Consider the following 15294-nt stretch of genomic DNA (forward strand, 5'->3'; position numbering starts at 1 on the left):
TGCGCGCGCCACCATGCCTGGCTAATTTTTTGTATTTTTAGTAGAGATGGGGTTTCACCATGTTGGCCAGGCTGGACTTGAACTCCTGACCTTGGGTGATCCACCCGCCTTGGCCTTCCAAAGTGCTGGGATTAAAGGCATGAGACACTGCACCCGGTCAGTTATCTCCTGCATTCTTGGAGACCACCTGCTTTTTTGTTTAAAGTTAAATTAAGTTAATATTTTTATTTTTTATTTTTATTTTATTTTATTATTTATTTTTTTTTTTTTTGAGACAGAGTCTCGCTCTGTCGCCCAGGCTGGAGTGCAGTGGCGCCATCTCGGCTCACTGCAAGCTCCGCCTCCCGGGTTCACGCCATTCTCCTGCCTCAGCCTCTCAAGTAGCTGGGACTACAGGCGCCCGCCACCACGCCCGGCTAACTTTTTGTATTTTTAGTAGAGATGGGTTTTCACCATGTTAGCGAGGATGGTCTCCATCTCCTGACCTCGTGATCTGCCCGCCTTGGCCTCCCAAAGTGCTGGGATTACAGGCGTGAGCCGCCGCGCCCGGCCTAAATTAATATTTTTAGAGACAGAGTGTTGCTCTGTTGCCCAGGCTGGATGCAGTGGCGCCACACAGCTCACAGCAGCCTCAAACTCCTGGGCTTCAGTGACCCTCCCATCTCAGCCTTTTGCATAGTTGGGTCTACCAGCACACGCTACCATGCCCGGCTAATTTTTTTTTTGGGGGGGGTAGAGGATAGGGTGTTACTATGTTACCAGGCTGGTCTCAAACATCTGGGCTCAAGCGATCCTGCTGCGTAGGTCCCCCAAAGTGCCGGGATGACAGGTGTGAGCCACCGCATCCAGCCTCCTGCTGCTGTTCTCGATGGCTGTAGTGGGTTAACGGTGTCCTCCCAGAATTCATGGCCTCCTGGAACTGCAGAATATGACCTCATTTTGAAATTACGGGGTTTTTTTTGCAGATATAATTAGGCTTAAATGAGGTCATACTGGATTAGAGTGGGCCCTCAGGTGGAGAGAAAAGAGGCTCATAGAGAAGGAGCCGTGTGAAAACAGAAACAGAAACTGAATGAGGCAGATGAAAGTCAAGAAACACCAAGAAGGAGCCAGGCGCAGTGGCTCACGCCTGTAATCCCAGCACTTTGGGAGGCTGAGGCAGGCGGATCACTTGATATCAGGAGTTTGAGACCCTCCTGGCTAACACGGTGAAACCCCCGTCTCTACTAAAAATACAAAAAATTAGCCGGGCATGGTGGCGGGCGCCTGTAGTCCCAGCTACTCAGGAGGCTGAGGCAGGAGAATGGCGTGAACCCGGGAGGTGGAGCTTGCAGTGAGCCGAGATCACGCCACTGAACTCCAGCCTGGGTGACAGAGTGAGACTCCGTCTCAAAAAAAAAAAAAAAAGAGTTGGAGACCAGCCTGGCCAACATGGTGGAACCCCATCTCTACTAAAAATTCAAAAAATAGCTGGGTGTGGTGGTGGGCACCTTTAATCCCAGCTACTCAGGAAGCTGAGGCAGGAGAATCGCTCAAACCCGGGAGGCAGAGGTTGCAGTGAGCCGAGATCACACCATTGCACTCCAGCCTGGGTGACAGAGCGAGACTCTGTCTTAAAAATATATATATTTTTTAAAAAGAGGATCCAGCCTCTTTTTCCGGCTGGAACCATGGAGGGTGTAGAAGAGAAGAAGAAGGAAGTTCCCGCTGTGCCAGAAACCCCTAAGAAAAAGCGAAGGAATTTCACAGAGCTGAAGACCAAGCGCCTGAGAAAGAAGTTTGCCCAAAAGATGCTTCGAAAGGCAAGGAGGAAGCTTATCTATGAAAAATTGAAGCACTATCACAAGGAATATAGGCAGAGGTACAGAACTGAAATTCGAATGGAAAAGATGTCAAGAAAAGCTGGCAACTTCTATGAACCTGCAGAATCCAGACTGGCGTTTGTCATCAGGATCAGAGGTATCGATGGTGTGAGCCCAAAGGTCCGAAATGTGTTGCAGCTTCTTTGCCTTTGTCAAATCTTCAATGGAACCTTTGTGAAGGCCAATTAACATGCTGAGGATTGTAGAGCCATACATTGCATGCGGGTACCTAAATCTGAAGTCAGTAAATAAACTAATCTACAAGCGTGGTTATGGCAAAATCAATAAGAAACGAATTGCTTTGACAGATAACGCTTTGCACGATCTCTTGGAAAATATGGCATCATCTGTATGGAGGATGTGATTCATGAGGTCCATACTGTTGGAAAACGCTTCAAAGAAGCACATAACTTCCTGTGGTCCTTCAAAGTATCTTCTCCATGAGGCAGAATGAAGAAACAGACCACCCATTTCGTGGAAGGTGGAGATGCTGGCAACAGGGAGGACCAGATCAACAGGCTTGTTAGAAGAATGAACTATGGTGTGTACTATAATTATTTTTCTAAGCTGTTCAATAAACATTACCTGCTCTCAAATGGAAAGAAAAATATGTCTGTATATACATACAGTTAGGGTCCCAAGGGCCTCTGGCTATGAATCATCAAGAAGTCAGTGTCATCAGCAGCAAACTCACAGCCAACAGCGCTAGAACTCGTGCCTGGGGATAGCTTCTCTAACACGTGGATTTCCTCCTCTGTGAGGCTCATCACGGCCTCCTTGCTCTTGGGGGACATTAGACAGGGCTTCAGCACTATTTGGGGGCTGTTTGAAACAGCAAAATTACCAACAAAAAGCAAAAAATTGAAAGGAGATAAAAATGGGAGATTTCAGAGCCTGAGCCTATAGCATTTGCTGGGTGGGTGAAGAGGGTGGTCAAAGAGGTCCAGAATTTTGAGGTATCCAGAAATCAAAATATCCTCCCTGAGATCCCCAAGTACTAAAGGGATTTCCTTCACGGAAGCCCTAGGACTCCAGGTCTGGGGGAAGCGGGTAGACAGCACCTTCAAGACAATCTCCTACCTTAATTTATTTAATATTTACTTAGCTGATCTTTTTATCAGCTTAAGATATAAATAGTTTAGATTCATATCATTAAGAAATAACTAATACCTTCTAAAAGATGGGGGAAAGAGAGATGGGGTGGGGTGGCTCATACATGTAATCTCAGCACTTTGGGAGGCCGAGGTGTCTTAGGAAAATCCCAAAATGAGACAGGAGCAGCCAACTCATAAAAATAAATACAACTGCTTGGCCGGGCGCAGTGGCTCACACCTGTAATCTCAGCACTTTGGGAGGCCGAGGCGGGCGGATCACAAGGTCAGGAGTTCAAGCCCAGCCTGGCCAATATGGTGAAACCCCGTCTCTACTAAAAATACAAAAATTAGCTGGGCGTGGTGGCGGACACCTGTAGTCCCAGCTATCTCGGGAGGCTGAGTCAGGAGAATCGCCTGAACCCGGGAGGCGGAGGTTGTCGTGAGCTGAGATCTGGCCACTGCACTCCAGCCTGAGAGACAGAGAGAGAGTCTGTCTTAAAAAAATAAATAAATAAAAAAAATACAACTGCTTATGAAACTGAATCTCGTTCACCACAAGAAAATTGGAAATTGAAAGCTCCGTGAAACACAATTTTTCTTTCTCTCTCTCTCTCTCTTTTTTTTTTTAAGATCGTGTCTCCCTCTGTCGCCCAGCTTGGAGTGCAGTGGCGCCATCTCGGCTCACTGCAATCTCCGCCTCCCAGGTTCAAGCAATTCTCCTGCCTCATCCTCCTGAGTAGCTGGGATTACAGGTGCCCACCACCACGCCTGGCTAATTTTTGTATTTTTAGTAGAGATGGGGTTTCACCATGTTGGCCAGGCTGGTCTTGAACTCCTGACCTCCAGTGATCTGCCCACCTGGGCCTCCCAAAGTGCTGGGATTACAGGTGTGAGCCACTGTGCCCAGCCACACTTTATCTTGTCACCTGTGATTTGGTAAAAGATCAGAGTGTTTGATGATTCACTGCTCAGCAAGTGCGTGGGTGAGAAGGAGCCTCAAACCTGGAGGCTAGGAGCTGAAATGGATCCAACTTTCTGGAAGGACAGCTTGTTGAAATCTATCAATGCACCAAAATGCACCTTCCCTTTGGTCCAGAAATTTTACTTCAAGGATATTCTTTCGTAAGCACACTTGCACGCGTCACAGACGCGGACGTACGCACACAAACTCAACGTGGTGTGGTTTGAATGATACCGGAACACAACCAACCAGAAGACCCATGCGCAATTGAGGGTTTAGTCCTGTGCTAAGCACTTGTCAGGTTTCACCTTTTCTGACCTTCCCAAGAACCCTATGAAGTGAATCATGCTGTTATTTCTATTTTCCCTGTGAGCAGGCTCAGAGAGGAAGGCCACCAGCTTAATCCACCTAGCAAGGAGCTTGGGAGAGGAAGTGCCTAGATTTGAATGTGGATCCATATCGTGTACCTGAAGAACCTGGACCTTCCCACCTGAGTCACTTAGTGACTTGACCTGGCCTCTGACCACTTTCCAGTCTGTGCAGTTCTGCTGGAGGTCATTTGCACCATTTTTTATTTTTTAATTTTTATTTATTTATTTATTTATTTTTGGGACGCCTTTCTCTGTCACCCAGGCTGGAGGGCAGTGGCGTGATCTCGGCTCTCTCTGCAACCTCTGCCTCCCGGGTTTAAGTGATTCTCCTCCTGCCTCAGCCTCTCAAGTAGCTGGGATTACAGATGTGCACCACCACATCCGGCTAATATTTGTATTTTTAGTAGAGATGGGGTTTTGCTATGTTGGCCAGGCTGGTTTCGAACTCCTGACCTCAAGTGATTCGCCAACTTTGGCCTCCCAAAGTTCTGGGATTACAGGCATGAGCCACCACGCCCCACGGTCGTGTGCATTATTTTTGAGAAGAAGGTTTTCTAAAACCAGAGTTTCCCCATCTGCAGACTCTAGAGCTGAGGCTCCAGGACAAGACGTCCACTGATGTTGGCACTCTCTCTCTCTCTCTCTCTTGCTCTAAGTCAGGGGAATCATGAGCCCTGTGAAGGGAAAGAGTTGAGGGGAGAGACCCAGAGGACAGTTGGAGCACAGAAAGTAAGATCACTTTCCTCCTGAGGAAGCCCGAGGCCCACCAGGCTGATTTTTGGCTGCCTTCTGCTTTCCCCCAAGGGAAATCTGGAAACTTCTGCCTCTCTTCCATAACCCTGGAAGCCGCGGGCAGCTTGAAAGTGCCAACTCAGGCTTCCTCTTTGTCCAACTTGGTCACTCCTTCTGTTTCCCTTTGCTGTGGCTGATCTCAAGTTGCCACAGGGATATGCCCCTTGGTGTTGATATAGGAATTAAAAAGGAATTACTGGCTGGGTGCAGTGGTTCACGCCTGTAATCCCGGCACTTTGGGATGCCGAGGTGGGCAGATCACCTGAGGTCGAGAGTCTGAGAGCAGCCTGACCAACAAGGAGAAACCCTGTTAAGGGAGGAGACCACCCCTCATATTGTCTTATGCCCAGTTTCTGCCTCCAAAGAAAGAAAAAGTAAAAACAAAAAGGCAGAAAGGAAATCCACAAGCAGAAAGCCCAGCACCTCACCCTGGGCCTGGTAGTTAAAGATCGACCCCTGACCTAATCGGTTACGTTATCTATAGATTACAGACATTGTAGAGAAAAGCACTGTGAAATCCCTATCCTGTTTTGTTCCGATCTAATTACCGGTGCATGCAGTCCCCAGTCACGTACCCGCTGCTCGCTCAATCGATCACGACCCTCTCACGCTCACCCCCTTAGAGGTGTGAGCCCTTAAAAAGGACAGGAATTGCTCACTTGAGGAGCTCGGCTCTTGAGACAGGAGTCTTGCTGATGCTCCTGGCCGAATAAACCCCTTCCTTCTTTAACTCGGTGTCTGAGGAGTTTTGTCTGCGGCTCGTCCTGCTACATTTCTTGGTTCCCTGACCGGGAAGCGAGGTGATTGGCAGAGGGTCGAGGCAGCTCCTTAGGCACTTAAGCCCGCCCTGTGGAACATCCCTGCAGGGGACTCCGACCAGCCCGAGTGGCGCGGATCCTGAGAGTGCTTCCGGGTAGGCATTTGCGCCGGTGGGACGCCTCGCCAGAGCAGTGTGTGGCAGGCCCCCGTGGAGGATCAACGCGGTGGCTGAACGCCGGGAAGGAACGGGCACTTGGAGTCTGGACATCTAAAACTTGGTAAGACTAGTCTTTGAAACTTGCCCACTCCGTTTGAGTGGAAGCGTGGCCTGATCACCCACGGCATGCCTGTACCGGCACTTTGGTTTTGGTTTTGACTTGGTTTGAATTGCTTGACAGGATTGGTCTCAGGAACTTGCCCACTCCATTTGAGTGGAAGCGTGGCCTGATCACCCACGGCGTGCCTGTACTGGCACTTTGGTTATTGTTTTTGACTTGACTTGGATTGCTTGATACTTTGGTTTTGGTTTTGACGTGGCTTGGATATCTGGATACTCCGATTTTGGTTTTGATTTTGGTTTGGTGCAAACTGCAAAAGTGTGTGTGTGTGTACCCTTTTTACCCGTTCTTTGTTTTGTGGTGTGCGTGTGGTGTGAGCGTGGTGTTTTGTCTCGAAGAAGCATAGGTCAGGCACCAATAAGCCCACCCTACTAGGAACTAGGTTGAAAATTTTCAAAAAAACATTTAAAGGAGACTATGGAGTACTATGACACCAGGAAAACTTAAAACTTTGTGTAAGATAGACTGGCCAGCATTAGAGGTAAGTTGGCCATTAGAAGGAAGCCTGGAGAGGTCCTCTGTTTCGAAGGTATGGCACAAGGTAATCTGTAAGCCAGGGCACCCAGACCAGCTCCCATACATAGACACTTGGTTACAGCTGGTTTTAGACCTCCCGCCCCCAACACACAGTGGTTGAGAGAACAGTAGCATAAGTGGCTGGCAGAGGCAAGGAAAGACCAGCAGAGAGAGAGAAAGGAAAGAGACAGAGAGGAAGAGACAGACAAAGAGGGAGTCAAGGAGAGAGAGAGAAAGAAAAAAAAAGAGAGAGAAAGAGAGAGGCAGAGAGAGAGAGAAAGAGACAGAGGCAAAAGGAAAGTCAAAGAGAGAGTGACAAAGTCAAAGAGAGAAAGAAAGAAGATGATTTAACATTAACCACTGAAAATTCCATTCACTCAGCAGGTTTCCTAACAGGGGATCTAAATCTTAATTACCAAATACGAACGTCTGACCAGACGTAGGAGGAACTCCCTTCAGGACAGCATGAATGATGGTTCCTCCCGGGTAATTAAAAAAAAAAAAAAAAAGCCATCTATACCAATTCTAATTTAGAGAAAACAAGGTCTTATCAATAGCAAAGGATAATTAAAATCCCGACTTACAAGGTTTTCAACAAAAGTAAAGTTTGCTAAAAGTTAACAGTTTAACATGTATGACAGTAACTTCTATGCTTCTGGCCTTAGACAGTCTAGTCCACAGACATAAAAAAAGGTTCGCTTTGGAAAAGAATGGTTATCATCTTCGAGAAAAAAAAAAGGAAAAAAAAAGGTGGGGCAGAATTTATATAAAAAGAGTATTATATGGTAAATTCTTGTCTTGAAATAAATTAACTGGTTGTTTAAAGAAAGAAATGTTTGTAGTAAGTCCGAAAGTTAAGGCATGTCGAAAAATTGCCTGTAAAAGTTGTGAAAGAAAAATAAGTTATAAAAATAGTGTTAAAAAAAGAATTTATGCAAAAAATGTTGTATAATTTAAAAGTAACTAGGCCTCCTGAATGTAAAACTATTGAAAAAAAAAACAGTTTATGTGCAAGGTGTATAAGAAAAGTAAAATATACCTTTAGTAAAAGGATTATAAGGAGGCATAAGAGTGTACATTTTTACCTACATTAAAAAGTTAAGTTAAAAAAATTATTGTTTTGAAGATTTAAGCAAGTTTTAAAACGTTAATTGTAAAGAAAATTCTGTGTGTAAACATATTAGCTAAAGTTAAAGAACTATCACCCAGTTTTTCTGGACATTAAAGTAAAAGCATAACAGGTTTTTCTTAAACCACCAACCTGCTCTTTAGCAAAAATTATAAAAGGTTGAAAAGAGTCTATAAAATCATACCTTATAGTCAAACATTAAAAATTAGATAAATATGTCTACAAGGTTTTATTAAAATTAGGTTTAACATTAATAACACACTAATATAAAAATAAAATTTAGCTTATCTGGTATAAAAATCATACAAAAAGCATTATTAAACATAAAATAGTGTTTAGATTTCTTTGGTCTAAAAACTAATAAAAATAGGTGCTGAAGGAAATTTCTCAGTAAAAAGGCACTAAGGACTATAAAGTCCACTGCCACAGTCCCCACATTTAAAACAAAAGGTCAATTTCTTAGAAATTATATACTTGGTTTATCTTCCACTTTCTTTTCTCTCAAAAAGTAATATGAGGGGCTGTCCCCTCCCTTAACAGGGTTTCTCCTTGTTGGTCAGGCTGCTCTCAAACTCCCGACCTCAGGTGATCCGCCCACCTCGGCCTCCCAAAGTGATGGTCTTGTGTCATTTAGGCCAATTAGATAAAAAAAAAAAAAAAATGAAAAGGATCCAGTCCACCTTCAGAAAGGAAAAAATGGCTCTTCCTGTACTAAAGGACAATGTAACCCCTTAGAGCTAGTACTAACCAATCCCCTTGATCCTCGCTGGAAAAAAGAGGAACGTGTAACCCTAAAAAATTGATAAGAGCTAGACTGGATCTTCAAGTAAATATCGTGGTTTGAGAAAAAGTGTATAAATGCTCTCCCGAGCCAGTATTTCAAACCTTCTATGATAAACTAAAAGTGCCAGTACCAGAAATTCCATGAAAAACAAGAAATTTGTTTTTGCAATTAGCCGAGCATGTGACCCAGTCTCTCAATGTCACTTCATGTTATATATGTGGAAGAACTGTCACAGGAGATCAATGGCCATAGGAAGCACGAGAATTAGTACCTACAGACCCAGTTCCTGATGAATTCCCAGCTCAAAAGAATCACCCTGATAATTTCTAGGTCCTAAAAGCCTCAATTATTGGACAATATCGCATAGCTAGAGAAAGAAAAGAATTCACTCACCCCGTAGGACGATTTAGTTGTCTGAGACAGAAACTGTATAATGGTACCACAAAAACAGTCACTTGGTAGAGTTCAAATCACACAGAGAGAAATCCACTTAGTAAAAAATTCCCAAAGTTGCAAACCGTGTAGACATAGCCGGAGTCCCACCGGGACTAGACAGCCCCGACTAGATTATGCTACGTATGTAGGCATAGAGCTTATGCCAAATTGCCTAACCAGTAGGCAGGCAGTTGTGTTATTAGCACTATTAAACTATCTTTCTTCCTACTGCCCATAAAAACAGGTGAACTCCTGGGCTTCCCTGTCTATGCTTCCCTCGAAAAGAGAAGCATAGCTATAAGAAATTGAAAAAATGATAAATGGCCCCCGAGAGAATCATACAATATTATAGTCCTGCTACTTAGGCACAAGATGGCTCGTGAAGATACTGGACTCCCATTTACGTGATCAACCAAATCATATGGTTACAAGCTGTCTTAAAAATAATCACCAATAAAACCGGCACAGCCTTGACCATTCTGGCCCAGCAAGAAACTCAGATGAGAAATGCTATCTCTCAAAATAGATTAGCTCTCGACTACTTGCTAGCAGCTGAAGGAGAAGTCTGTAGGAAATTTAACCTTACTAATTGCTGCCTACACATAGATAATCAAGGGCAAGTAGTTGAAGACACAGTTAGAGCTATGACAAAACTGGCACATGTGCCCGTGCAAGTGTGGCATAAATTTGATCCTGAGGCCATGTTTAGAAAATAGTTCCCAGCGCTAGGAAGATTTAAAACTCTTACAGTAAGAGTTATAATAGTAATAAGAACCTACTTACTGCTTGCTTGTTTGCTACCTGTACTTCTTCAAATGATAAAAAGCGTCATCGCTAACTTAGTTCACCGAAATGCTTCAGCACAAGTGTACTATATGAATCATTATTGATCTGTCTTGCAAGAAGACACGGGTAGTAAAAATGAAAGTGAGAACTCCAGTATTGAGCGAGAGTCTCAAAAGGGGGGGATAAGGGAGGAGACCACCCCTCATATTGTCTTATGCCCAATATCTGCCTCCAAAGAAAGAAAAAGTAAAAACGAAAAGGCAGAAATGAAATCCACAAGCAGACAGCCCGGCGCCACACCCTGCAGCCCCCAGTCACGTAGGCCCTGCTTGCTCAATCAATCATGACCGTCTCACGCTCACACCCTTAGAGGTGTGAGCCCTTAAAAAGGACAGCAATTGCATCCTCGAGGAGCTCAGCTCTTGAGACAGGAGTCTTGCCGATGCCCCCGGCCAAATAAACCCCTTCCTTCTTTAACTCGGTGTCTGAGGAGTTTTGTCTGCAGCTCGTCCTGCTACACTATCTCTCTAAAAATACAAAATTAGCTGGGCGTGGTGGCACATGCCTGTAATCCCAGCTATTCGGGAGGCTGAGGCAAGAGAATCGCATGAACCTGGGAGGTGGAGGTTGTGGTGAGCCAAGATTGCACCATTGCAATCCAGTCTGGGCAACAAGAGCGAAACTCCGTCTCAAAAAAAAAAAAAAAAAAAAAAAAGAGAGAGAGAAGGAATTACTTAGGCAGAGAGCAAGGGCATGGGAGTCCTCGGTAAGGCTTTTCTTTTTAATGAAAAGCAGCCCCAAATCATTTTCTAACAAACAGCAGCCTGCAAGCTGGGAGCTTGCCTGGATGAATGCCAGCGGGAACTAAGGACTAGATATATTGAAGATGGCGGCTCTATCTTCCCTTCTCTGCCAGCCACGTGTGCTGTAAAGGAGCAGACAAGATGGCACAGATCAACTAGAAAGCCTATTTGCTTAAGAAGGGTAGGCTGGGGCAGCGGGGTGCTGTGGCTCACGCCTGTAATCCCTGCACTTTGGAGGCCGAGGCGGGTGGATCACCTGAGGTCAGGAGTTCGAGACCAGCCTGGCCAATGATGAAATCCAAATAATAGCTGGGCGTTTTAGTGAGCACCTGTAATCCCAGCTACTCGGGAGGCTGAGGCAGGAGAATCGCTCGAACCCGGGAGGTGGAGGTTGCAGTGAGCCAAGGTCACACCACTGCATTCCAGCCTGGGTGACAAAGTGAGACTCCATCTCAAAACACACACACACAGAATTAGGGTGGGGCAACCAGCCTTCCCTGCACACTATGTAGACGTCATATCTAATCAAATCAATCTGTGAGCCCTGTGTAAAACAGACACCGCCTTCTCTAGCCTGCCTATAAAATCTGCTGTGGTCTGCTGGCTCCCCTTTTTTCGGATCTCTCTCTCTCTCTCTCTCAGCTCCTCTCTGCTCTCTTTTCTTTTTTTTTCTTTGATATGGAGTCTTGCTCTGTCACTCAGGCTGGAGTGCAGTGGCCTGATCTCAGCTCACTGCAACTTCCCCCTCTTGGGTTCAAGCAATCCTCCTGCCTCAGCCTCCCGAGTAGTTGGGATTACAGGCGTGCACCACCATGCCCAGCTACTTTTTTGTATTTTTAGGAGAGATGGGGTTTCGCCATATTGGCCAGGCTGGTCTTGAACTCCTGACCTCAGGTGATCTGCCTGCCTCAGCCTGGGTCCCAAAGTGCTGGGATTACAGGCGTGAGCCATCCCACCCGGCCCTCTCTCCTTTCTTCTATTAAACTTTCCACTCTTAACCCACTCACTTGTGCCTGTGTCCTGAATTCTTTCTCTGCACACGTCAAAGAACCCCAGGGTATATAACCCAGACAGCGTAGCGGGTTCAGTGTTACCCTTGGCAGAGTTCTAACAGGAAAAGGACAGGGATCCTTCAACTTACAGCTTCCCGCTTAACTATATAGCATGCCTCTCACTGCTGGGATTTCTGCTGGGAGGGAGGGTATCAAGACACTTTTGTCTCAGCACTTCTCACTCTTCCATTCCTGTTCCTTTCTTTCTTTTTCTTTTCTTTTTTTTTTTTTTGAGACGGAGTTTTGCTCTTGTTGCCCAGGCTGGAGTGCAATGATGCAATCTCGGCTCATTGCAGCCTCCGCCTCCCAGGTTCAAGGGATTCTCCTGCTTCAGCCCCCCAGTAGCTGGGATTACAGGCGCCCACCACCATGACCAGCTAATTTTTGTATTTTTCGTAGAGACGGGGTTTCACCATGTTGGCCAGGCTGGTCTCGAACTCTTGATCTCAGGTGATCCACCCGCCTCAGCTTCCCAAAGTGCTGGGATTACAGGCGTGAACCACCATGCCCGGCTCATTCCTGTTCCTTTCTTTATCCCATGAGCCAGCAGGACTAGGAGAATTCTGTGCAAAAGGAAGCAACAAGAAACAATTTTCACCTACATGAAAGTCTGGGCTGGCATGTCATCTCTGTTCTGCAAAATCTTTAGGAGCCAAAATTCTTTCACTGAAGTGCCTCCGACACATCAAAGGTGATGCCCTTGTCTGCAAAGTACAAAGTGACACACCACCATGGCTGAGTTCCAGGAAACAGGAAGGTCAAAAAGTGAAGGGAAGCAACTATCCTTCCTTTTCAAGGAAGTGCTTGCGCTAATAAATTCCGCTTACAACCCATTGGCCAGGACTTTGTCACATGACTCAGGCAAGGGAGACTGGGAAATGTAGTCTTCATTCTGATTAGCCATGTACCCAGCTGAAACTCCAGGGTTCTATTACTATCAGTAACAGAATTTTGTGCCTCAAGTGCAAATTTCAAGGGGGCATCTCAAACTGTCATTGTCAAAATAAATGATATTCTCAGGCAACATTTTAAAAAAAATCTAAAAAGTGAAGGTCAAAAAAATTCATGATGAACAAATTGCAAAGATGTTTTAAAGATCAGATCCAACCCTACACTTCTACAATCTGCTTCATTTTTTTCCACCTTCATTCTGGTCTTGCAGCCCAAATTTGCATTCTGGCTCCAACACTTACCAGCTGTGTGACCTGCAGCAAGTGATTTAACCTCTCTGTGCCTCAGTTCCCTGGAAGTAATAAAAGTATCTCACAGGCTTGCTATGAGGTTGGAAGGAATTAATATTTGTAAACTGTTTAGCAAAGAGCCAGTACGTAGTAAGGAACTGGTGAGAACTATTACTATCATTGCTACTACTGAAACGGCCTCCTTGTCTGGAGTAACACCCGAGGTTCACAGTCTCACAGCCAAGGAAAACAAGGACATAGACATAGAAAGAGTGAGGTCGAGAATGGAAGTTTCATAGGCGAAAGAAAGAGGAGAGCTCTCTGCTGCAGAGAGGGGTCCCGGAAAAATGGGTTGCCGTATCAGCGGGGAAATGTAGGGGGTTTTATAGAGAAGCTAGTGAGCAAACGGTGTTTGATTTATATAGGGTGTGAAAAACTGGTTAGACCATGTGTCGCATTTGCATAGGGTGCAAATTTCTGGTAGCCTCTGACCCTAATCTTTTATTATGCAGGCAGGTTCTCTGCCCGAGCTGCGCCATGTTGCCCATTTCTGTTACTGCACGCGTGGTAACATAAAAGGGAAGAGGAAGCGTCCATGTAGGGCCTGCCTGGCCCCTGGGTAGCTCTCTTCTATTGGCGCACCTGCCGGCATTCTCCCGTGTAAGCTTCCAGCTGTGCCTATCTATGTTTGCAGCTCAATTTTTCAGGCTGCTGCTTGTTAGAAAAGAAATGATTTGGGGGCTGCTTTTTGTTAGAAGGGAAGCTCTGCCGAGGACTCTGCTGCCTTCACTATCTGCCTAAATAATTTCTTTCTACCTCCTGTATCACTACGACTGTTGCTATTATTAATCTGAGAAAGAGACTCACTCTGTTGCCCAGGCTGGAGTGCAGTGGCCTGGGCTCACTGCAACCTCCGCCTCCCAGGGTCAAGTGATTCTCATGCCTCAGCCTCCCAAGTAGCTGGGACTACAGGAGCCTGCCATTATGCCCAGCTAATTTTTTTGTATTTTTAGTAGAGACAGGGTTTCACCATGTTGGCCAGGCTGGTCTCAAACTCCTGACCTCAAATAATGTGCCCGCCTTGGCCTCCCACAGTGCTGGGATTACAGGTGTGAGCTACTGCGCCCGGCCTCTTATTATTATTTATTTATTATTATTACTGCTTTTGGAGACAGGGTCTTACTCTGTCGCCCAGGCTGGAGAGCAGTGGTGCAATCATAGCTCCCTGCAGCCTCCAGTTCCTGGGCTTGAGTGATCCTCCTGTCTCAGCTTCCTGAGAAGGTGGGACTACAGGCATGCACCACCACACTCAGCTATTTTTTTTTTTTGAGTTGGAGTCTTGCTATGTTGCCCAGGCTAGAGTGCAGTGGTGCAATGTCGGCTCACTGCCAGCTCCGCCTCCCGGGTTCACGCCGTTCTCCTGCCTCAGCCTTCCGAGTAGCTGGAACCACAGGTGCCCGCCACCTCGCCCGGCTAATTTTTTTGTGTTTTTAGTAGAGACGGGGTTTCACTGTGTTAGCCAGGATGGTCTCGATCTCCTGACCTCGTGATCCGCCTGCCTTGGCCTCTCAAAGTGCTGGGATTATAGGCGTGAGCCACCGCGCCCGGCCTCACATTCAGCTAATTTTAAAAGTTTTTGGAGAGATGGGCTCTTGCTATGTTGCTCAGGCTGGTCCTGAACTCTTGGCCTCAAGTGATACTCCCACCTTGGCCTTCCAAATTGTTGGGATTCCAGGCGTGAGCCACCACCCCTGGCCAGACTTTACACAATAAAGGTGTATTTAGGGCTGCTCTGCCTATGGAGTGGCCATTCTTTACTCCTTTACTTTCTGTTTTGTGTTTGTTTGTTTGTTTGTTTGTTTGAGACGGAGTTTTGCTCTTGTTGCCCAGGCTGGAGTTCAATGGCGCGATCTCAGCTCACTGCAACCTTTGCCTCCTGGGCTCAAGTGATTCTCCTGCCTCAGCCACCAGAGTAGCAGAGATTACAGGTGCCTGCCACCACACCCGGCTAATTGTTTGTATTTTTAGTAGACATGGGGTTTCACCATTTTGGCCAGGCTGGTCTCGATCTCCTGACCTCAGGTGATCTGCCCCCCTTGGCCTCCCAAAGTGCTGGGATTACAGCTGTGAGGCTAACACTCCTGGCCTATTCCTTTACTTTCTTACTAAACTTATTTCACTTAAAAAAAAAGTTTATTTTCTACTCACACAACATTCAGATCAGCAAGGGGTTCTGCCCATGGTAGGCTGAAATAGGCTTCTTCCTTTTTTTTTTTTTTTTTTGTTGAGACAGGGCCTCACTCTGTTGTTCAGGGTGCAGAGCCGTAGCACAATCTCGGCTTAATGCAACTTCTGCTTCCTGGGTTCAAGTAATCCTCCTATTTAGTCCCCCAAATAGCTGGGACCACAGGTGCACGGCACCATGCCCGAC

The 15294-nt window shown here is 46.0% G+C and overlaps 1 pseudogene, besides 3 other annotated features; it reads left to right on the forward strand.

Annotated features, from left to right (window-relative positions):
- Positions 734-1193: an enhancer, noted in NCBI's record as "active region_13848". NCBI's record gives its function as "activates an Ori minimal core promoter by ATAC-STARR-seq in GM12878 lymphoblastoid cells {active_cell/tissue: GM12878}" and the evidence as "EXISTENCE:reporter gene assay evidence [ECO:0000049][PMID:35858748]".
- Positions 1214-1313: an enhancer, noted in NCBI's record as "active region_13849". NCBI's record gives its function as "activates an Ori minimal core promoter by ATAC-STARR-seq in GM12878 lymphoblastoid cells {active_cell/tissue: GM12878}" and the evidence as "EXISTENCE:reporter gene assay evidence [ECO:0000049][PMID:35858748]".
- Positions 1650-2481, forward strand: RPL7P50 (ribosomal protein L7 pseudogene 50; annotated as a pseudogene).
- Positions 9999-10218: an enhancer, noted in NCBI's record as "active region_13850". NCBI's record gives its function as "activates an Ori minimal core promoter by ATAC-STARR-seq in GM12878 lymphoblastoid cells {active_cell/tissue: GM12878}" and the evidence as "EXISTENCE:reporter gene assay evidence [ECO:0000049][PMID:35858748]".

This window comes from Homo sapiens, chromosome 19 (genome assembly GCF_000001405.40).
Source record: "Homo sapiens chromosome 19, GRCh38.p14 Primary Assembly".
Taxonomy (NCBI): Eukaryota; Metazoa; Chordata; class Mammalia; order Primates; family Hominidae; genus Homo; species Homo sapiens.